Here is a 23489-nt window from a genome sequence, read left to right on the forward strand (position 1 = left end):
CGTCACCATTTATTGAATGTTTCCTGTGTGCCAGACACCTTAAGAAGCACTTTATGTGCATGATTTTATTTAATCCTCATGATAAGCCTGTGAAGAAGGCATGTTATCTCCACTGTGGACGAGAGAACTGAAACACAAACATTTAAATGATTTGTCCAGTGTCACGTAACTAGCAAGGAGTCCAGCCAAACTCTAAGCCAATTCTGGGTGACTCCAAACACTGTGGGATTAGTCACCATGCTACAAACCTCCTTCTTGGAGTCAGGACACAAATTTTCAGTGGTGATTAACATGCCAGATGGACACATTTCTTTTTTTTCCCTCTTATTTTCTTTTTCTTGGTGTTATCTTTAACTAGCTATTCTGGTGAGTGTGCAGTGCCAGATCATGGTAGTTTTTATTTGCACCTCACTACTAATAAACTTACTGACCAATTGGATATCCTCTTCCTTTGTGAAGTGCCTGTTCAAGTTGCTTGCTAATTTTTCCATGGATTTTTTTTTTTTCTTAGCGATTTAGAGGAGCTCTGAATAAATATTCTGGTAACAGTCTTGGGTTTGTGTTGAAAATATCTTCTATTCTGTGGCTTGTCTTTTTACTCTCTTCATTTTCTCTTTTCTTTCTTTCTTTTAAAACTTTTTGGGGAAAATGTCAATTACATATTCAGAGGCATAAAAGGGGGTGGGGGAATGTCAATTACACATTTAGAGACAGAAAACAAAGTATCACTATCCCCCTTCACCATGATTTGGCTTCAACAGCTGTCACTCACAAACAATCTTATTTCATCTAATCCCCACCTACTTCTATTTCTCTCTTCACCTAATAGATTATTTCGAAGTAAATCTTGAGCATCATAATATTTCATCCATAAAGATCTCAGTATGTGCCCCTAATAAATAAGGACTCCTTTAAAAAATACACAACCACAATTTCATTATCACGCCTAAAAGAGCTTAGTAATCAAGGATTCCTTAATTCATAAAATATTCAACAAGTGCTTACATTTCTCCAACTGTCTCAAATTGTATTCTTTTACATTTTGCTAGTTTGAAACAGAATCCAAATAAGCCCCATACTCTGTAATTGGTTGATGGAGCTCTTCATACTCTTTTAATCTACAGATTTCCTCCCTCTATTTCTTTTTTCCACCTTGCCATTTAGTAAACCAGCTCATTTGTTTAAATTTCCAATAGTCTGGATTTTGATTATTGTGTCACCATGTGTCATTTAACCTATTCCTCTGTTTCTGTATATTCTACAAATTGTTAGATCCAGAGGGTTGATCAGATTCAGGTTCAATTTTTTGGTACGAATACTTCCTCGGTGGTATTTCACACTTCTATCTGGAAGCATGTAACTATGCCTGGTTGCTTCTGTGACATTAGCAGACACTGATGACCACTGCCCCTTATTTCATTAGGAGCAGACACCCAATTACGAACCACACATTTTGATTAATCGCTGATATTATATGACTTCGTTGGATCCTACTGTTTTACTTAAAAATTTGGTCTGGAGGCTGAATCAGGGGAGAATTGCTAGAGCCTAGGAGTTAGAGGCGAGCCTGGGGGAACATAAGACATTTTCTCTAAAAAATAAATTCATAAATTAAAAAATAAAAAATTTGGGCCAGGCGCGGTGACTCATGCCTGTAATCCCAGCACTTTGGGAGGCCGAGGCGGCAGATCACGAGGTCAGGAGATCGATACCATCGTGGCTAACACGGTGAAACCCCATTTCTACTAAAAATACAAAAAAAAAAAAAAATTAGCCGGGCGCGGTGGCGGGCACCTGTACTCTGGAAGGCTGAGGCAGGAGAATGGCATGAACCTGGGAGGTGGAGCTTGCAGTGAGCCGAAATTGCACCACTGCACTCCAGCCTGGGGGACAAAGTGAGACTCCGTCTCAAAAAAATAAATACAAATAAAAAATAAAAAATTTGGGTGACTCTGGTTGGGTGTGGTGGCTCACGCCTGTAATCCCAGCACTTTGGGAGGCCGAGGCAGGCGGATCACAAGGTCAGGAGTTCGAGACCAGCCTGGCCAATATGGTGAAGCCCTGTCTCTACTAAAAATACAAAAATTAGCCAGACGGGGAGGCAGACGCCTGGAGTCCCAGCTACTCGGGAGGCTGAGGCAAGAGAATTGCTTGAACCCGGGAGCTTGCGGTGAGCCGAGATCGGGCCACTGCCCTCCAGCTTGGGAGACAGAGCCAGACTCTGTCTCAAAAAAAAAAAAAAAAAAAAAAAAATTGGGTGATTTGAAATTAACAAATGGAATGGAAATAGAGAGGTTTCTATTTCAGTTAATTTTTGTGATCTGACCTGAACATCTGGGCCAGTAAACAGCATAAGGGATGTGTCATGGCTCTCTAAGGGTCACATCTAGCATGGGGCTTAACACTGGTGAGCAGGAACAATATGGCCTTTAGGTGTTCAAGGAAATGCGAACAGTGTTGGTATAGATTTTGTAAAAATGTTCTAAATCCAAAATGTGTTAACTCCTGCTAAAGGAACGACTTTGCCCAAGTACCATTTTGGAATAAATCATGGGCGTAAAGGGGTCTTTCCAAGTTCCCAGTCCTCAATGACAGAAAATCAAAGCAGCCTCTTGAAACCCAGTTAAAACTCACTGCTACCTTCCTAGGTCAAACAGTAACAACAAAAAAACCCAGCAGGTTATATGCTTACAGGTTACTGCCTCTGTCTGGGCATGTGAATCGTGGCAGACATGCAGCCGCTTTAACTGTTAGGTGGAATAAAACACAAGAGACTGCTGCTGAATAAGAATTTTCCTCTTGGAGATTAAACATTCAACATTTCAAATATAAGTCATTTGTTTGATCAACAGGCAGGATGAGACAAGGCTGTTCTAGAGGAGGCAAAGCCCTTTGAATACAGAGAGGATGAAAAGAACAGTAGGTAATTGACAAGAGTTTGATTTTGCACTTTGGAAGCACCTTTGTGTGCTAGACACATGCTTCATTGTTGTAGCAGCAAAATAGCAGAATAAAAGGTGCTAGCTTTACAAGGTTCTATTTACAAAGATGCTTAAGAAAAGGCAAAAACTTCACTATGGTTAGATTTTTAGTTTTATTAATGGTCGCAGAAGCTAAACAGCACCCAAAAACAATTCTAAATTAGGAGGGCTAAAAAACAGAAATTAGGACCAAGAACAAATTTTTTAAAATCTAGAGACTGAAATTGCAATTTTAATATAATAAAATCCCTCACCCCCTCTAATTCTCTACGGTCATAAAAATAATCCAATTTAACAAGTGTTACAGGAATTAAAGTACTACAAAGACAGAGACTAAGTATGTCATATTTACAGCTATATCAATCCCTGGTACATAGTAGGTGTTCAACAAAAAGTGTTGCATTAATGAATAAAGTCCTAAAAGTATTAAAACCGAAAGTTCCAATTGTGAAATAAAACTGTACAATGCTAAGTTGAATCTCGACTAGCTGTCATCTCAAAAACCCTGTCAAAGCTGCTTAATAAAAGTGTTGGGTTGATACACTGCATGTCTAGAAAGTTGTAAAACAACTGGAGAAGGTCCAGAGACAAACCTGACTTGCTCCAGATTACAGAGAATGACAGCTAGACTTACTGTTTGCATTCTTGTCTCTGCCTTTTGGTGAGCCGTTTCCATTCTAACAAAATCTTCTCATTTTTAATATTTATATGTCTAATGATTTAATATCATACCACATCACTCTGGCCTTCAAGGTGCCCTGGACACACATTTTTCTGATTTACCTTTACACAGATTATACGCAAACTGGCCAGAAATCATTCATTTCAACATGAACCTCTCAGGTAAGAATTGTGGTCTTACTTCTCTCTCCAGAAACAGCTTTCTTCACAGACTCTGTTTAAAACCAGCTCCCGGCCGGGCGCGGTGGCTCACGCCTGTAATCCCAGCACTTTGGGAGGCCGAGGCGGGCGGATCACGAGGTCAGGAGATCGAGACCATCCCGGCTAAAACGGTGAAACCCCGTCTCTACTAAAAATACAAAAAATTAGCCGGGCGTAGTGGCGGGCGCCTGTAGTCCCAGCTACTTGGGAGGCTGAGGCAGGAGAATGGCGTGAACCCGGGAGGCGGAGCTTGCAGTGAGCCGAGATCCCGCCACTGCACTCCAGCCTGGGCGACAGAGCGAGACTCCGTCTCAAAAAAAAAAAAAAACCAGCTCCCTCCACCACCATCTTCTGTAAGCTTGTCCAGACATGGGGTACATCATTAGGCCAGGTCTTCCAGTCATTCCCTTGCTTGCAAAGCAATCATTTATAGGCGTTTGGTGCTTTGTCTGACATCTGTTTGATGCTGGAACTCTAGCCTTTGTCTCAATGAATCACTTGTCGGTGAAAGTCCATTGTAGGCTGGATTTCACACTTTCAGGAGGGGTTTGCCTGTGATGGAAGTGATCTTAGGCTTTTTGAAATAACCAGCTCCCTCCGCCTCCCTATATTCCATGAAGAAACAGGAAAATGAGAGAGTCTGGGGAACCTGGTGCTTATTCAAGCCTCATTTTGATTTGTTCCCTTGGGCCTGAGCCAGGTTAGCATCTCTGGGGACTACATTGCCAACTCACCTCCATGGTTGAAATGTTGCTGCTAGAAGAAAACTAGGCTGAAACATTTATGTAGGATTCTTTGAGATCATCAGATAAAAGGAAGAGATTTTTGAAAAAGAAGGAAGGAAAAAGGGAATTCACCATTATCTAGTAGTTAGCAGAAGATCGTTTTTTAAAAGTGTGGTGGAATGGCTGTACCCACGTTGGTCTATGTCTAGCTGGAGCAGTGGGGATAAGGAGTTGGACTGGATTATAAACCTGGCTGAGCCTAGCAAGGCATTACATCTAGAAACCACTTTCTTTATTCTCCCAACAGGGTACAAGTGACTTACAAGGCATATATGGTAAGTGAAGTTTCTTTGAAAGCCACCAGGCCCACACTATTCCCTTGTAGAAAGTGATTATTCATCTAGAATGCCCTGTGGAAATTCCTGTGTGCAGTCAGGACTTGAGAAGTACAGCAAGAAAGGGAAGGGGCAGGCTAAGCCTAAGAACCCTGTAGTTGGCCTTTCTAAACCAGGAGCCAGTGAATACAATATGCTTTGCAGAGCAGAGATGGCATGTGAGATGAGATTATAGAGAAAAATCTGATAGAGAAATCATGGGCTTTGAATTTCTCTTTGTTTCATAAGGAAAGGAAGATGCTAGACAGGGCGTATTGGAGAGATTCTTCTTTGTGACTTTTAACTTCTTTGCTTGGTTTCACAGTAAGTCACATTATGGAGAAGTTGTTACAAACAGATGAAACCCCAGGAAGGGAAGTCAGAATTTCCAGATCTGATGAGACAGTGGGTGGAAGAAAAGTTTGTCATTTAAAGCTTTAATTCAAAGAGAATAGGAAAGGGGAGGAGAAACTGACATCCCATCTGAGGCTTCTAAGGGATCCTTTTCATGTTCCTAAATTAGTACAAGGGGGTGTGGGGTAGGGTGCCAAACCTTGGGCTCATCAGTCACTTCATGCATCTGAGTTGAAAAACATTTAACCCTGAGATGCACATAATTTAAACATGCTGATTCACTGGTGACCAAATGCTGTGAGCCCTTGGGAGCCAGGAATTCCCAACATGATGTGGTAATGCATTTTACAGCATGAACTTCAGATCTCCAGGACCCAGGCTGGGGAACAAGACAGGGACTCTACATTCTAAAGTTTCTGCATAACAAACACAGACCCTCCCTTCCAAATGCATTGAAAATGAGGGATCCCAAAGGGCAACTCCCACTTCCAGCCCCACCACCCTACATACCTTTTCATTTCTGTTTGCGCCATTAGGTCAGGAGGTTAATGAAAATGCACTCTAAAGTTATAAAGAGGATGAAGCCAGGCACGAATATTAGATTTCCATTCAAGTCTGAATATGCAATATGGACATGAAGAAAACCCCATTTGCTTCAAAATCTTACAGTTCTGTTCACATTTACTTGGATAGGACTGAGATGCTTAGGAAGTTGATAACTGCTAATTGCCTACACTAGAAATAAACCTAGGAATGAAGGTTAGATTCCCAGCTTAGAAGTGAAACGTTGCAAGCTCTCTGTGTAGTCAAATACTAAGTGATGATAACGTTGCATTTGGGACCAAGCAAAAGCTGGGATTTAAATTTTTCATCTTCAATTACGTATTTTTTTTCTTTTTCTCTCTTCTTCTATCTATCTACCACTTGATTTTTCTTTCTTACTCTTTTTTTAGACCTGCATCCTTAAGGATGGATCTGTAAATGCACAGTATTTCCTCGAGTCACTTAAAAATATTACTTAACAGCATCAATCACCATTGAATGAAATAACTCATTGCACCAAACTTTGCCACTCAAGTTAATTTCACAGCACATATTATAAAATAATCCTTTGATTGAAGGATGATGCTTTATAATAATATCTTGAGTCTGTTCACACACTCCGAAGGAACAGCTTCAATAAGAGTAAATTGCTGCTGAAGACAAACCAACTGGAAAAGATACTTGCTTTTTTTTTTTTTTTTTTTCTTTTAAGGTTTTCACAATGGCTTCAAAGGAAATGCGAATTAATCATTTGTTTTGACCCAAGAGCAGCAGAACTTATTTTGGAGACAAACAGGCGACACAAACGTAAACAGAAATCTGGGACTCCCAAATGCTAAAGTTGAAAGGAGTTAGTCTGAAAACACCAGTTCTACTCAGCGTTTATTTTTCATTTGAAGATAGTGGAAATCGTAGAAATCATGGACAATACAAGTTGGTCTTGCCTGGTAAATGTCCACATGAATCTGTTAGCCTCTAAGTACAGGTACAGTATTTTTTTAATAGAAAGACAGGGCAATATGGCAGTTAATTAGCAACCAATACTGTCAACTACAGTGGATACAAAGTTTTATCATATAAATTAATTGCCATTACAAAAAGGCAACTGCTTTAGCTAAGAAGGTACAAAAACTGGAAACGTCCATAAATATTACAAGAAGCTAGGTGAAGAAATACATAACAGACTGTTTTTCCTATATAATATTTGAATATGCAAACCAAGACACCTGTGGCACTTTACATGAAAGTAGGAAAAGGGACTTACACTCCCACCCCCAGCCATCCCACCCACCCCACCACCCACCCACCCATCCCCACCCGTTCAGGCCCCACCCCGCCCCCACGTGGATTTCCAAAACATGGCAAATTCTAGGGTTACAAGGACAGGATGCCGCGCGGAAGCAGCAAGACAGCGAGCTCCGACCTGCTAGACAAAGAGGGAGCCTTATTGACAGTTGTAAAGCATTAGGCGTCAGACAGAAACTTGTCAAAAACAGCTGTTGTTGGGTACTGATTGATAATGTTTTCATTCTGACGGCTGAGACGCTGCAGACAGTCGTGGGTTTGAGGAGAGGCCCATCACTGGCGCACACATGAACACACACACGCAGACCACGGGAAGTCATTTAACAGATGGCTTAGGAGCACTCAGCCACGGTGTCTTAAAAAGACAACATTCTACATTTAATGAACTTGCAGGGAAAGCAAGGCCTAATAATCATTTATTTTTCATAGAAGATGAGCACAACAGGACAAAATAAAAACAGGAATTGTGTAACTGGTCATCGGAATAAAAGTTTTGTGCTGCTCAGGGATTACACAGTGTTAAAAATATTCAAGAATGCTGCAGACAAAATTGTATACGAATCACTATGTATCCTTCCTGATTCATGACATTAAAAAAAAAAAGCTTAAAGAAGTGTTTGATGTTTCAAAGGTAATGATTTCATTACAATCTACTCATAAGATTAAACCACAAAAACTACATTTAAATGGCATTAAGGGTCTGAAGTCTATCTTCTGGAGAATTACCAGGTATTACATCATTCTGTAATATAGTGTGAGTCTGTGGTATTTGGGTATCAGTCCATTTTACTTAAAATTACAAACATGTTTTTACACTCATGTGCAGGGAGCAGTTTTTTTTATCATTTGGCCACTTAGTATTTTAAGTGGTCAAAGTCTACAAAGTATGCCAAAGAATATTTCATCTGTGAACCTCAATATGCATAGATTTTTTTCCTGATTTAGAAAAGATCAAAGGTGCTAAACCTTAGTAAAACTGTACATTTATCCCTATGCAATTTTGTCATTTAAATTAAATGGAAAAAAAACTAGTTCCAAAGACTGAATATGAGTCCCAATATTATTTATTTGCTGCAGCCCCAGCACAATTTTAAGGGCACATTGAAACCCCTGAAAATAGAGGTTTATAATAGAAATACTGATAAACCTTTAACTACTAGAGGAAGGCATTAACAGATTCCAATAAACTACAGTAACACGTAATGAATGAATATATAGATGATTCTGTCTTTGTTATCTTTGTCAAATCCATGCCATCTTAAACCCTAACCAGTATAAATTATACTTTTTCTGGCTGTTTTTAAAATTTTTATCTATTATTTTAAAAATTATTTTCTCTATTTTAATCAAACACTTGAAGTTTTTAGAAAAAGATACCTATGTTACATTGCAGCTTCACTTTATGCAGGCTCATCATTCCATTAAACAATATTTGAAGACTCGAATCAATCAAATACAGTCTGTGATGCATGCATTGTACCTAAATTTCCTCTAACCACTCTCAGAAACTGAAACAATGTCTTTGCTCTTAAAAGAGAAGAGACTTCAGATGTAATCAAGAAAACATTGTGTAACTTGCCTCTAAGCTCTTCAGAGCCAATTTTACTATGGCAGGATATTCCTTCCTGATAAGGTGATTAATGAAGTTTTTGGTGCTCACTTTTCTCTCATAGTCTATAAGCTCAGTATACCAAAAAAAAAAAAAAATTAGATAAAATAAAACAAAACCCCCAATAGGTCTTGAAAATAATATAAATATTTTGTGGAGTCCCAGTCACATAATACTCCACTCCCAAACCCAGAGAAAATGATCAAGGTCTTGTGAGTCTTTCTGAGTCCTTCAAAAGGGATTTGATTTCCATAAGCCATGAATTCCATCCGTTTCAGCACAGAGTATAGAAGAGATGCTTAGAACAACAGAAGGAAGAGACATGCGGGGAAGATAATTAGTGGTAAACAGAGAATAAATTCTCTCTCAGTAGTGTGTACTTGACGTTAATGCCGATGATAATTCATCTGATCTACAGAATATTCACTTTAATAGAGAGATGAGAGTCTGAAATGACCAGAGGAAAATAGATACTGAAGCCAATATAGTCTTGATACCAAAATAAAATTAAAATGAGAAACTAACATGATAGGTTCAAGGCCTTTTGGGAGCCTGTTTTCTTTGCCAGATTTCACATTCTTACAGCTTCATGGTCTTTTTCTTCTAACAAATTAATCAGCTGAGAGAAGCTGTCTTTCAGTGCATCCATGTCATCCAGTGAGCAGGGCTGTAGAATCCAGCGTTTTCCACGTGCAAGTGGTTCAAGTTCAAAATATTTTTTGATCTTAAGAGGAAAAAATAAAGATAAATAGGTTATTAATTATATCAGAAACTTTCTCATATCAAAATTCTGAGGGATAAAGTAGGGGAATTTCGAGGCGGAATTTATACGAACTGTGATGCCTACAACTTTGCAATGTGGATGCCTGTCCGCAGCTGTTGTTATAATGTGGGTTATATATTGTGACCTGGGAGTGTTTTCTTTAGAGGTGAATGATCTGCGTGCAAGCCACCATTCCACCCATACATTTAGCAGCGTGGGAGGTCTGATGAAGTCAGAGAAAAAATTATTTGCACTATGGCACCAGTCAAGATACATTGCAGACACCAAAAGATTCGATTTCATCAAAATAATTAGCAGAGTAGCTTTCACTATCTCACCTTGCCAACTTATTAAATGGGTGACGACTTACAGTAGGTACTATATTGATTACTCAAGACTCAATTATTTTGACCATCAAGCACATAACACAACAAAAATCTAATTTAAATAATCTTCTTCTCTTTCTCTCTCAAATTTCTAGTATCTGCTTCTGAGACATGAGAGCGTGTTTTCTAGGAAAGAGGATAGAAACTGCATGTATGTATGTTTGTATGCATATACACACTTACATAAATTTACATATATGCGTAAAATCTTCTACCTTTTTTTTTCTTTTTCAGTCCTGAATTTTCTAGGATGGAAAAAGCAAGAACTTATAATAGGTATGTGCTGAAAAACCTGTTCAATTAATAACCAGTCACAAGTCACTCTTACTATATTGGCCAGCATACTGACTAACGGCATTTAGTATTACCAATTCCTGGCTGTGAATAAATAGCAAATTATTATGGCTTCTAGAAGTATTGATGATCTTCTCTCAAAAGGTATCATAAAACACAAAGTTCAGGAAGCTCCCGACTCATACACACTGTATCATACAAAAGTAGAACATTATATTTATTGCCCAACAAAGTTTTACATAACATCAAATACAGTTAGTAGCAACATCAAAAGAGACATTGCTCAAAGATGTTCTTGGTTAACAAATTTCGTTAAATCTCATGTGTCATGAAAAATTACAGTCTTACCTTAGTCAATACTTGACCTAGAAAAAAAAGTATCTCCACTTTAAATGCCATGCTCAAATACGGTTTTATTTTGCCAGTACCAGTGCAGACTACTGTTTGTTGACAGTAGAGATATGCTATCCAAATTGGTATTAATATGTTTGTACATTTTTTCATATAAGCCAGAAGACATATATATCTATATATAAGAAATACTAAGCTATTATGCTAATTTAGGAACCAGAAATATACTAACATTTTATAGTCCAAGTATGTCCAAAAAGTCTCCTTATCAATGTCTGAAAGTTCATAATAAACACTAATTTAAAAAAAAAACCTGTGAGAATTACAAGATCCTCATTAATTCTGATTCTGAAGAGTAATGAACACCTCACTTGCAGATCAGAAAATGGATATACAACTTCAGAACAATTTTTTGCCCAAGGTGTTTTATAAATCATGTTAAGAGGATTCTTTGTTGTTGTTGTTTTTCTTTTTTTGTTTTATTTATTTATTTTTTTATTTTTATTTTTTTAGATTAGATAGGGTCTCAATCTGTCACCCAGGCTGGAGTGCAATGGTAGGAACACAGCTCACTGCAGCCTTGACGTCCCAGGCTTGGGCGATCCTCCCACCTTAGCCTCCTCAGTAGCTGGGACCATAGGTGCACGCCACAACAACTGGCTAATTTTTAAAAAATCTTCTGTAGAGGTGGGGTCTAACCATGTTGCCTAGGGTGGTCTTGAACTCCTAAGCTCAGGGGCTTCTGCCACCTCAGCCTCCAAAAGTGTTGGGATTACAGGCGTGAGCTACCATGCCCAGCTTTAAGAGGATTCTTGCTTACTGAAAACACAAACTCCATTCTTTTAGCTTGTTTTCTTTATGGCACTGAAAACTATTGACATCCAAGACAATCTGAAATTCCTGGTGCAAAGACCAGTATCAGGGACCAACCCAACTCCGCAGAGGGAAGAACTGCCAGTTAGCTGAGTAGGGGACCATTGGCCAATAGGGGAAAAAAGAGTAGGGAGGAGGGACTGGTAGGGAATCCTGGCTAAGTCCACCCTTAGAAGGAGGTGGGGGCTGCTCCAAAGAGCTGAAAATCAGAGATGTTGGTCTTGTTGCTTCTGCCACAAAGTAAGGCTTCAGGTTGTATCACTGAGCTCAGAAATTGGGACCACTGTGCTTACAATGCAATCTAGTATTTGATCAATAATGCTTCCCATCAGATGAAGTATGCAACATCCAAAATCTAGTACATAAAGGAAGTTGTGTCCCTGATACATATTATAAACCCAAATCCAAAAGGACAGCATTTTAAGTATTGCTAATGACTGAGAAGAGGGCTGGTCACAAGAAATTCAATATTAAAATAATAAATAATAATAATAATAGGAAGGCATCTCATTAACAATACTTCCTCTGGGTGGTTAATTTAAAAATAATACGGAATTGATCCCGGTAGCATATTTACAGCTAATTTGAAAACAATATTGGATTAAAATAATCACAAAGTATATCAGTAATATGTGATATTTTACAATACCTACCAGACATAAAACAGTGAAGTTCAGCTACCTGTTAAAGGTTGGTTTCTAGGCAACTGAAAATATAGTCTATCACACAGGCATACATGGAAGATAATACAGGTGTCTGCAGGTAGACATGATTCAGAAGTTGTTCCTGCTGAATACTAAACATGAGAAAGAAGTGGAGGTTACAGGGACAGAGTGGTCAGCAGATAAAGGGGCCTAGTGGTGTTAAGCTGACAAATATGGCTGGGTAATTCAAGATTTTCAGATCCATCACCTAAGTGGGTATCTAACACTGCCAATATTCACTCCACTGGTATCCACAGGATTCCACACAACTCTACATTTATGGTATCAATTTTTAAACGAGTTTTGCCATTTCACTAGTATTCAAGTACAGTGAGTGACTGCTGCTGGAACATTTATTAGCTTTTCATTACTTGGAATTTCATGTTTCTAAAAACAAAGACCACAGTACAGAGAGGAGAAGATGAGGACTTTATGTTCTAGTTCTGACTGTTTTTTTTTTTTTTTTTCCGAGACAGAGTTTTGCTCTTGTTGCCCAGGCTGAAGTGCAATGGCGCAGTCTCGGCTCACTGCAACCTCTGCCTCCTGGGTTCAAGTGATTCTCCTGTCTCAGACTCCCACGGAGCGGAGATTACAGATGCCTGCCACCAGGCCCAGCTAATTTTTGTATTTTTAGTAGAGACAGAATTTCACCACGTTGGCCAGGCTGGTCTCGAACTCTGACCTCAGGACAATCTGCCCACCTTGGCCTCCCAAAGTGCTGGGATTACAGGCATGAGCTGCTGGGCCTGGCCTAGGATAACATTTTTATTTTGTTATCTTATATCAATCTGAAATTCAAATTTTACTTTCCCTATGTTATTACAGTAACAATTACAGTCACATTTGAATTGTTCACCATTGCTTTTTTGTCTTTGTATATGTTGATGTACAGTTTTAAAGAATAGTGTTTAACTTTGAACAACGTAAGTCATATACTTAACATCTGACGTTATTTTTAAGGTTTAAAAAAAAAACTGCCTGTGATGCAATGATCTATTTTTTATGATGGACATACAATTTTTTAAGGCCATTTACTTATCAAGATGAACATCTTAAAAATGACTGAAGAGAACATGAACCTAAATCTTTTGACTACTTATCCGTTGCTGAACTAGCACGGTTAAGTGAAAACTTCTTGAATAAGGAGATAGTGATTGTTTCACATTGGCCTTTGGAGACGGCACTTGGGAGAATGACATCAGAATACAGCTGTCTGACAACCTGTGGTCATTTAGCTATTTTCAGGAAAGCCACAGAGAGTGGGCATTTATTAGTAGCCATGTGTCCACCCTAGAGATAGGAAAACAAAGCCACCACCAGCAGCCAACCTATTTTAGCCCTGTCACCAGAGCCTTTCTCCACTCATGCCACTGCCGGCTGATTGGCATGACTGCGTTCCATTATTCACACATCGCGTTTACTGTAAAGTCCCAATATAACAGAGACGACTCGGCACCATCTCACTGCTGCTAATGTTTGTAGCAGCTGTTAAACCTGTGAGACATTACATAGCACTGGAGACCCACTCATTGGGTAGGAGATGTCCTTTATGTTTCCTTGAGCAGTGAAATCACAGTATCATCCTTTCCTAGGTCCAGGATCTCTAACGGGGCAGTGATGCTCTCTGATTTCCCTATCTTGCCCTCACTTGAGATTCAAAATTTTGATTTTCAGTTCTTGCCAATTTGGTGTGACTAAATTTCTAGAAGGCATGTAAACAGTTTTGAACTTCAATAACAAGTCTTTCCTTTTTAAAAATCTGCAAACTTCATTTTATTTCTAATGGTAGGCTGCTTGTTTTTCCTCTGTTTGTTATTAAACCAGTAGTGTGTGCCCAGAGTTGAACTAGTTTTCCTGTAAGCATTCTGGGGAGCAGGGGAACAGAACAGTCCAGAAAGGGTTTACTTAGTGTTTGTGTGTGAAAGAGAGTCATGTTCTCAGCTCAGATATTTATAAACAGAGCTTTGACCCACAAGAACGTGTTGTGAGACATGGAGAGCCAGGGTGTGTGACAGTTCCTTACTGCGTGGGACTCTGCTCTGCATCATAGAATACGCCACCCCTAGTTCTACTGAGTTAGATGCCATGGGCAACAACCAGTCATTGCTAGAAATGAAAACAACCTGCACCCTCCCATGCCCAACACATTCCCTGGGTGGTCCTGCCCGTTGGGAACTGCTGCTCTTGCCATGTGAAATACAGGTACCTCTCACCCTGTATGGGGCTATTAGCTTATTTTTTCTGCATAGTCACCACTGGGGATGGCAGCTGGATATCTGCTTTCCCCATTCTCCCCCAGATCACCCACTACACACAATGCCTATGTTCCCTCTGTGAAAAACTAGTGGATTATAACTGACCCTTCTTAAGCCTGCGAGGTGGTTGTGGTGGGGTCAGGATCTATCTAAGGAGCTTTGGAAAGTTTTGCCCTAAAAGTTGGCTTCCCATAACTTCATTCACTCAGCCGCTCTGTCCTGAACGAGACTGGAGAGTGTGAGAAGGCAGCTCGGGTGCCAGCACTCCAGGTGCCAGCAGACGGGGCTCCACTGAAGACACGATGCTGCAAACTGAAAACAAAACAACAACAGCAGTGGTCTGAGAAGAGCACTGTCCTCATCATTTGTATTATAAGAGTACAGGGTTTTCCCCCATGAGCTTTTTAGTGACCATAAAAGACCGTTTAATACTGCACAGTTTACTAAGGGCTTTTTCACTTATTTATAGCACTTGGACTTACTTCCACTGGAAGGCAGAAAAACAATGGATTCCAATAAAGAGGGATATGATTACTTAGACTAGTTCTTAAATCACAGAACTCAATTTGAATAAAAAGTATCTGGATAGAAGACTGTTAAAATAAACTTTAGAAATAAAGGCACATTCTCCATCTCTGGAAAAGGAAACAGGTCTCATGAAGGAGTCTAGGTTGACAACTTTAGCTCCTTCAAACTGATGGGGATAGGTCAGCTAATGCAGATGACTGGGTGAGGATCTCAAACCAAATACAAAAGGCCAGGAAAAAGAAGTGCAACTGTGGGATGTGACAGGGAGAAGGGCAAGCTGGAAGATGATGCAAGAGAATCTGTTAACTGTCTTGAACCACGTGCAGCTATTACTGCTTTCTTGTAAGTTTAAATACACAGTGTCCATTGCATGGCATGTATTTTTCAAAGAACTATAGGAATCATGGTTTTGGGATGGATTCATATTGGTTCTGTTATTTATTTATTATTACTGTTACTTTTTTTTTTTTTTTTAAAGAAATAGGCCCTAGCTCTGTCACCCAGGCTGGAGTGCTGTGGCACAATCATAGCTCACTTCAGCCTTGAACTCCTGGGCTCAAGCAATCCTCCCACCTCAGCCTCCTAAGTAGCTGGGACTGTAGGAATGTGCTATCATGCCTGCCTAATTTATTTTTTATTTTTTGTAGAGACATTATCTCATTATTTTGTTCAGGCTGGTCTTGAACTCCTGGCCTCAAGTGATCCTCCTGCCTTGGCTCCCAAAATGCTGGAATTACAGGCATGAGCTACTGTGCCTGGCCTATACTGGTTTTAAACTCTCTAGTAAAAGTATGGTCTTGCTCCAATTAATAGGATGCCAAGAGAGCCTGAATGGACAGCAAAATTTCGTAGGACCTTTTCCATGATTGTTACAAAAAGAGTGGGACTTTCCTTGTCTATGTCCTAGCACCTTTCTTTAATCACTAGAGTAGATAGACCTATTGTGTGAACGTGTCACATTAGCGGAAAATATTTGCATTGAAATTTTTCTCAGTGATATGGTGGGGCCCGCTGACATAGGGCTGGCAATAGCTGATTGTGTGCATTCTCCTTCCAACTCCAGGTACACGGATGTCAAATTGTACAAGTCATGAACGTGGCCATGGTTTGAGTATTTACACCACAGAAACCTGCGAGTACAACAAATCAGGACTTTTTTTCTTTTTAAAGGGACACATTTAGGCTGGGCACGGTGGCTCACGCCTGTAATCCCAGCACTTTGGGAGGCAGAGGTGGGCGGATCATGAGGTCAGGAGATTGAGACCATCCTGGCTAACACGGTGAAACCCCGTCTCTACTAAAAGATACAAAAAAATTAGCAGGGCGTGGTGGTGGGCGCCTGTAGTCCCAGCTCCTCGGGAGGCTGAGGCAGGAGAATGGCGTGAACCCGGGAGGCGGAGCTTGCAGTGAGCCGAGATCGCACCACTGCACTCGAGCCTGGGCGACAGAGCGAGACTCCATCTCAAAACAAACAAACAAACAAACAAACAAAGTCACATTTACCATCACACTACTGAGTGTATACATCTTGTATATGTATTTGCAAAAGGGCCCTCCAGCTTTGCTGCCTTCATTACAGAGGCTCATGAAGCCAGCTTAACTGGGTAACCTTCACCAAAGTCAGAGAAAGCCATGCCCACGCCATGGCTCCAGGACAGGGTCTGGAGATAAAGTGGCAGGGCATCATTAAGATTCTTCAGAGTGCATTCTTGGCAGCTTGTTCAAAGAAAGGTTAGTCTAGAGAGCAGCACCAGCTGTTCCTCTTTTCATTGCAGGATTTTGAAATCCTTAGAAAGGTACTAAATATGTCATTAAAGGCAGAAATAAATGATACAAATAAAAAACCAACTTGCCACAGTCCCCAAAATATTATAACACAGAATGGATATTATTCACTTTTTACTGAGTGCTTAACAAGGACCTGAAAATGATGACTTGATGTTAACCAATATCACAATATTACTTTGGGGGTGCGTATTTATTTCAAAAAGATGGTAAGTACAAAAGTATAGTTCTCATAAGATGCTTCTTTCTTAAGGATACTAAAGTTCAGTGCAGCCTACCTGAATAATTGAAAACCAGACAAATAATTGCAGGTAATCACCTGTGATTGAGCCTTGCTCTTACTATAAGTCATCTTCCCCAATCAGTAACCTCCGACATGTATAGAATTTTATTTGTTGTGACAATAATTGTGTAGAAACCCAGTCTTCCAATGCACGGGAGAAGTTAGTATGTCCCAGAATAGCCAAATAAAATGATCCCATTAGCTTTGGTGGTAGGACCTAGGATCTGAAAAACAGTCTTGTTTTTGCTTAATCTGATTACCAAGAAGTACAGAGCAAACATGTCTGTTTTTATTTAAATTATTATTTTTGGTATGCCTTAGGGGCTTGTTTTATTCTTCTATCCAAAAAGCTTACTTCTAGATAACCACTATGAGAGGCACAGTTATGTATGGGTGCTTCTTGTCTTCAGGGACTAATGAAAGACATCCAGTATTCCCATATCTGTACCCTTCTCTACTCCAGTTATTCTATCAGGCCCTCTACAGCCTGAGGGATTCCTGCATCCAGGCCTTTGCTCCAACTACTGCTTCCAACCCTAGGTGCCTCCATCCACAGGTGGGAAGGATCAGCCTATAAATACTCTCTCATCTTTTAAGACCAAGCTGATGTCCTCCTATCACCTCAAGGGGATCGCTTATGATATAGGAGCAACTTTTGAATTATATAGAAGGGGTCTTAGTAGCAGAGGCCATTGTTGGTTGCCTCCTCATCACCCAGGCACCATAAATTCCCTGTAAATAAAATTTTATTAGAACTCAGCATGCTCATTTACTTAAGTATTATCTATGGCTGCTTTCATGCTACAGTGGCAAAGTTGAGTAATTGCCACAGAGATGGTATGTCCCACACGGCCTAGAATATTTACTACCTAGCCCTTTATAGAAAATAAAAAGTCAACCCCTGGCCTAAAGCATTCTGTAGCCTTCTGCTTTGTCTAGCAGGGAGGCCCAAGGAGTGCTTGGGAGGAGCCTGGGGCATCAGGCTTTCTGTGCCTCAGTTTGACCTCAAATTGCTAGACTTCCTCTCCCCTGCTTTAGTTCACACTTTAGTGGGACAGAGGATTTGGGCTTTCCAGCTTGGCTGGGCTCCAGTTACGACTTCGGATGCTTTGAACTGTAGTCAAGCAGGCAGTAGGGTCATCTCTCATTAAAGAAAGCCATATTTTATTTCCTCTCTGTGTTTAGCCTGTGTTTCTTTCGTGTATGTAGAGACTTGCTAAGACCACAAGAACAAGCCAGGGCACAGGAAGTTTTCTTACCAACTCCCTTAGTACTACTCCCCATTAGGCAAGTGGTCAGTGACCTGTCAGTTTGAGGTTTTTGGTGCCCTTGAGGATGGCTTTTGGTGCACAGCAATACTAGTTATTGTTACTTTGCAGTTTTGAAAAGGAATATACAGTTTGTTAAATTTACACCACCTGAAGCCTAGCTTTTCCTGAAATTTTTGTGTTACACTTAAAAATTTTAATATTCTATCTACATATCTTTTCAATTTTAACAATTACATTTATGGTGCCTTTGAATACTCTTTGGGTGCATTTATAAACTAAGTTCATTTTTAACTCATTTTATAATTCCATTTATAAGTTTAATATATTCAGTTTTCTTTTTAAGCATTTCAACTGTTTAACAATCAAAACATCCCCAAGTGGTTGAGAATCTTAGAATTTTTTTCCATGAATTTTATGAATTAAATGACTCTCAAGTTCTGGTACATTCTAAATGAGAATCACAAAGAGAATCTATCAGTTTGATCTATGTGTAACATATACTTTAAATGAAAGTATTAATATTGTGGGGTTATTTTATCATTTTAATTTTACTTTTTAATGTTTTTTTTGAGACAGAGTCTTGCTCTGTCACCCAGGCTGGAGTGCAATGGCACCATGTCGGCTTGCTGCAACCTCCACCTCCCAGGTTCAAGTGATTCTTGTGCCTCAGCCAACCGAGTAGCTGGGCTTATAGGTGTGCACTGCCACGTCCCGCTAATTTTGGTATTTTTGGTAGAGACAGTGTTTTGCCATGTTGGCTAGGCTGGTCTTAAACTCCTGACCTCAAGTGATCTGCCTGCCTCGGCCTCCCAAAGTGCTGGGATTACAGGTGTGAGCCACCACGCCCAGCCTATTTAATCATTTTTATACTCTTAATGTTAAATCTTCCAGGGTAAAAAGACTTTTCATTAAGGAAACAATTTGCCATCCCAAATGAAAGGGGTTATAATTCCATGTAACTTGAGGTTCCCATCTAATTGAACTTGTGTTGGTTTCCCTTTATTTATTTATTTATTTTTTCTTTCTTTTGAGACGGAATCTCACTCTGTCGCCCAGGCTGTATTGCCATGGCATGATCTCGGCTCACTGCAAGCTCCACCTCCCGGGTTGTTCACGCCATCCTCCTGCCTCAGCCTCCAGAGCAGCTGGGACTACAGGCGCCCGCCACCACGCCCGGCTAATTTTTTGTATTTTTAGTAGAGACGGGGTTTCACTGTGTTAGCCAGGATGTTCTTGATCTCCTGACCTCATGATCCGCCTGCCTTGGCCTTCCAAAGTTCTGGGATTACAGGTTGTGAGCCACCGCGCCCAGCCCAAACTTGGGTTGCTTTTCAATCAAAATTTTTGGAGATACTCATTGACAAGTTAAGCCCTTTCAAAAAATAGTTGTGACAACTCTTAGAAAACGTCGGTCTTCAAAGGGGGTTGTTTGCTCCTGGATTAGGAGGTAGTTATCATTACCTACTTCACTGTCTACTCACACAGATGGATACTCCCACCTAAGATTCTAGATAATTTCTTCCACTGCTTGGTTGGACTTTATGTTTCTTTAGCACATGTTTTACTATCTTTCCATCTTGCTCTACAGATATTCCATTTTCTTTTACTGATAATTTGTATACTATAAAATTCATCCTTTGAAAGCATACGATTCAGTTGCTTTTAGTATATTCATAGGGTTGTGCAACAATCATCACCATCTAATTCCAGAACATTTCTGTCATCTAGAGAGAAACACCTGAACCATTAATAGTCATCCCCCAATTATGCTTTCCTTCAGCCTTTAGCAACCACTACTCTACTTTGTTTCTTCATGGATTTGCCTATTCTGAACATTTCATATAGATCAAATCATGTAATATGTGGTCTTTTGTGTCTAGCTTCTTTCACTTAACACAATGTTTTCAATGGTCATCCACACTGTAGTATGTATCAATACTTCATCCCTTTTTACGGCTGAATAATATTCCACTGTGTGGATATATCCCATTTTGTTTATCCATTTATTGGTCGGGTTCTACTTTTTGGCTATTATAAATAATGCTGCTTTTTATGAGCAGTTTTGTGTAAACACATGTTTTCATTTCTTTTGGGTATATATCTAGGGATGGAATTCCTGGGTCATGTGTTAAATCTATGTTGTCAAATGCTTTTCCTGCATTTGACATGATCTATTAACATGACTGTATGATTTTTATCTTATAGTATATTAATATAATGTGTTACACTGATTTTTGTATGTTGAAACAACTTTATATCCTGAGATAAACTATGCTTGATTATCATATATATAATTCTCTTTTATATGTTGCTGGATTAATTTGTTAGTACAGTTGATCCTTGAACAACATGGGGGTTGGGGTGCTGACGGCCACACAGTCAAAAATCCATGTATAACTTTTAAGTCCCCCAAAACTTAACTACTAATAGCCTACTGTTCACTGGAAGCCTTGCCAATTAACATAAATTTTGTATATTATATGCACATTACATTATTACAATAAGATAAGCTAGAGAAAATAAAATGTCATTAATAAGATAATAAGGAAGATAAAATATATTTACTATTTATTAAGTGTAAGGGGATCATTATAAACTTCTTCACTGTCTTCATGTTGAGCACGCTGAGGAGGAGGAGGAAGAGAGGTTGGTCTTGCTATCTCACAGGTGGCAGAGGCAGAAGAAAATCTGCATATAAGTGGACCCACACAGTTCAAACCCATGTTGTTCAAGAGTCAAATATATTGGTTGAGAGATTTTTGCATCTATATTCACAAGGAATATTGGTCTTTAACTTTTTTTTGTAATGTATTTGGTTTTAGTATCATAGTAATCTTGGTTTTGTGGCATGAGTTGGGAAGTGTTCCCTCCTCTTCTACTTTTTGGAATGGTTTGAGAATTGGTGTAAATTCTTTAAACGTTTGGTAGAATTCAGCAGTGAAGCAAGGGTCCTGGGCTTTTCTGATGGGAAGGGTAATTCAATGTTTTTACTTGTTATAGGTCTAATTTTGATTTCTATTACTTCTTGAGTAAATTTCAGTAGTTTGCACCCTTCTAGGAATTTGTACATTTAATGTAGTTTATCTAGTTATTTGGCAAACAATTTTTTTAATTGTATTCCTTCATAGTCCTTTATATTTCTTTTTTTTTGGTTTGGGTTCCACCCGCTGCCCCCCCTACCCCCGACAGACCTCACTCTGTTGCCCAGGCTGGAGTATAGTGACACTATCATGGCTCACTGTAGCCTCAACCTTCCAGGCTCAGGTAGCCTGGAACCTTCCAACCTCAGCCTCCTGAGTAGCGAGGACCACAGGCGTGTACCACCATGCCTGGCTAATTTTTGTATTTTTTTGTAGAGATGGGATTTCATCATGCTGCCCAGGCTGGTCTCGAACTCCTGGGCTCAAGCAATCCTCCTCTCTTGGCCTACCAAATTGCTGGGATTATAGGCATGAGCCACTGTACCCAGCCCCTTTTTATTTCTGCAAGGTTGGTAGTTGTGTCTCTTCTTTCATCCCTAATTTTAGAAATTTAAGTTTCCCTCATTTTTGCTTTGTTAGTTGATTAAATATTTGTCAAACTGGCTGTGCGTCTTGGCTCACACCAGTAATCCCAGCACTTTGGGAGGCTGAGGTGGGTGGATAGCCTGAGGTCAGAAGTTTGAGACCAGCCTGGCCAACATGGTGAAACCCCATCTCTACTAAAAATACAAAAAATTAGCCAGGCGTGGTGGTGCACGCCTGTAATCCCAGCTACTCAGGAGGCTGGGGCAGGAGAATCGCTTGAACCTGGGAGGCAGAGATTGCAGTGAGCTGGGATCATGCCACTGCAGTCCAGCCTGGGTAACAGAGTGAGACTCTATCCCAAAAAAAAAAAAAAAAAAAAAAAAAAAAAAAAAAAAAAAATAGATTTGTCAATTTTATTGGTCTTTCAAAAAAACTAACTTTTGGTATTATTGATTTTCTCTATTGTTTTCCTAATCTCTATTTCATTTATTTCTAGTGTAATCTTTATTATATTCTTTCTTCTGTCTGTTTTGGTTTAGTTTGCTCTTTTTTCTCCTACTTTCCTAAGGATGAACAAACATTTAATTTTAATGGCATTTTAAGAGCATTCTGTTGGATCTCACCCCCATATATATTATTATGTTTCAATTTCTAGCTTTTTTGATTGATTCAAGTAAATGAAGTTCTATATTCTTTTCCTTGTTTTCTTATCTAGCATGGTTATACCTCTTATACATGTTAAAAATAAAATTCAGTTGGATTATGTCTCTCTCACATTTTGTTTCTGTATTCACAAGAGTTAATGACATATTCCAAGTTACGACAAGAAAAAATGTAAATGATCTGTTTTTCAATCAGTGAATAGGATTTCTAATCTTACAAATCAGGGACAGAAGAGTCCTCCTTACTTTTTTCCTCCCTACATCTATTTATCCAATTCTACATTGCGGAGTTCACTTGTAGCAACCACTTCTAGTACCAAATTATGAGTAACTGAATGTTAATGTTTGGTAGAATTAACTCAGCAATCCCTTCTAGTACGAAATTATCAGTAACTGAAGAGGCCTGTGGTTGACAGAAACAGAATGCCCAACTTAAACTGGCCTAAAAAGATGAAGAGGATTTATTTGTTTATAAAACTGAAATATCCCCTGCTAGTGTGTGCCCACTGGATTCAGAGGTTCATAAGGTAATCAAAGCTGAGGTTTGGTTTCTAGGTAGTCTCCGCAGGATACAAATGCTGAAAGATAGCTGATACATGAAGAAATAGCCAAGAAAACTGCAGGTGTGATTGAACCACAAACCCCTGAATCAAGCTATGCCAAAGGCCTGCAATCTGTGAACTTTTTAGTTATAGGAACCATTATACTCTGCTTATAACAGGCATTATAAATAATTATTGTATAAATTAATGGGTTAGGCTATCAAGACTCAATGCAGATGAAGCATCTCCACAAGTCTCTGGTGAACTCCATTTTCAGTTACAGCATAATCCAGATTTGGATAATTATTCCCTATTTTTTTCATGTGTATGAGTCCTCAGTTCCTTGAGGGCACAGAAATGAAAAAAAATTGTATTATCTAGTATTCTCAATATAATGTGAGACACAAAGAGGATACTTATTTGAAAAAAATAGATTTAAATAGCTGAGCTACAATGAAAAAGACAACAAAATATGTACTATATTTCATTCCATGTTAAAATGTTAGTAAAAGA

At 39.3% G+C, this 23489-nt stretch overlaps 1 protein-coding gene across 7 annotated transcripts in view, besides 1 other annotated feature; it reads right to left on the reverse strand.

Annotated features, from left to right (window-relative positions):
• Positions 4986-6185: an enhancer, noted in NCBI's record as "CDK7 strongly-dependent group 2 enhancer chr5:53178032-53179231 (GRCh37/hg19 assembly coordinates)". NCBI's record gives its function as "activates an origin of replication core promoter dependent on BRD2, BRD4, P300/CBP, MED14 and CDK7 cofactors, with strong dependence on CDK7, by STARR-seq in HCT116 cells {active_cell/tissue: HCT116}" and the evidence as "EXISTENCE:reporter gene assay evidence [ECO:0000049][PMID:35650434]".
• ARL15 (ARF like GTPase 15) overlaps positions 6726-23489 on the reverse strand; it is a 426632-nt gene continuing 409868 nt past the window's right edge. For all 7 annotated transcript variants that reach the window (NM_019087.3, XM_011543500.3, XM_017009598.2 and 4 more), the window contains one exon: positions 6726-9497. In NM_019087.3, the coding sequence (NP_061960.1) occupies positions 9345-9497 (153 nt within the window). In that variant the 3' untranslated portion in view covers positions 6726-9344. The remainder of the gene's footprint in view (positions 9498-23489) is intronic.

Source organism: Homo sapiens, chromosome 5 (genome assembly GCF_000001405.40).
Source record: "Homo sapiens chromosome 5, GRCh38.p14 Primary Assembly".
Classification (NCBI taxonomy): domain Eukaryota; kingdom Metazoa; phylum Chordata; class Mammalia; order Primates; family Hominidae; genus Homo; species Homo sapiens.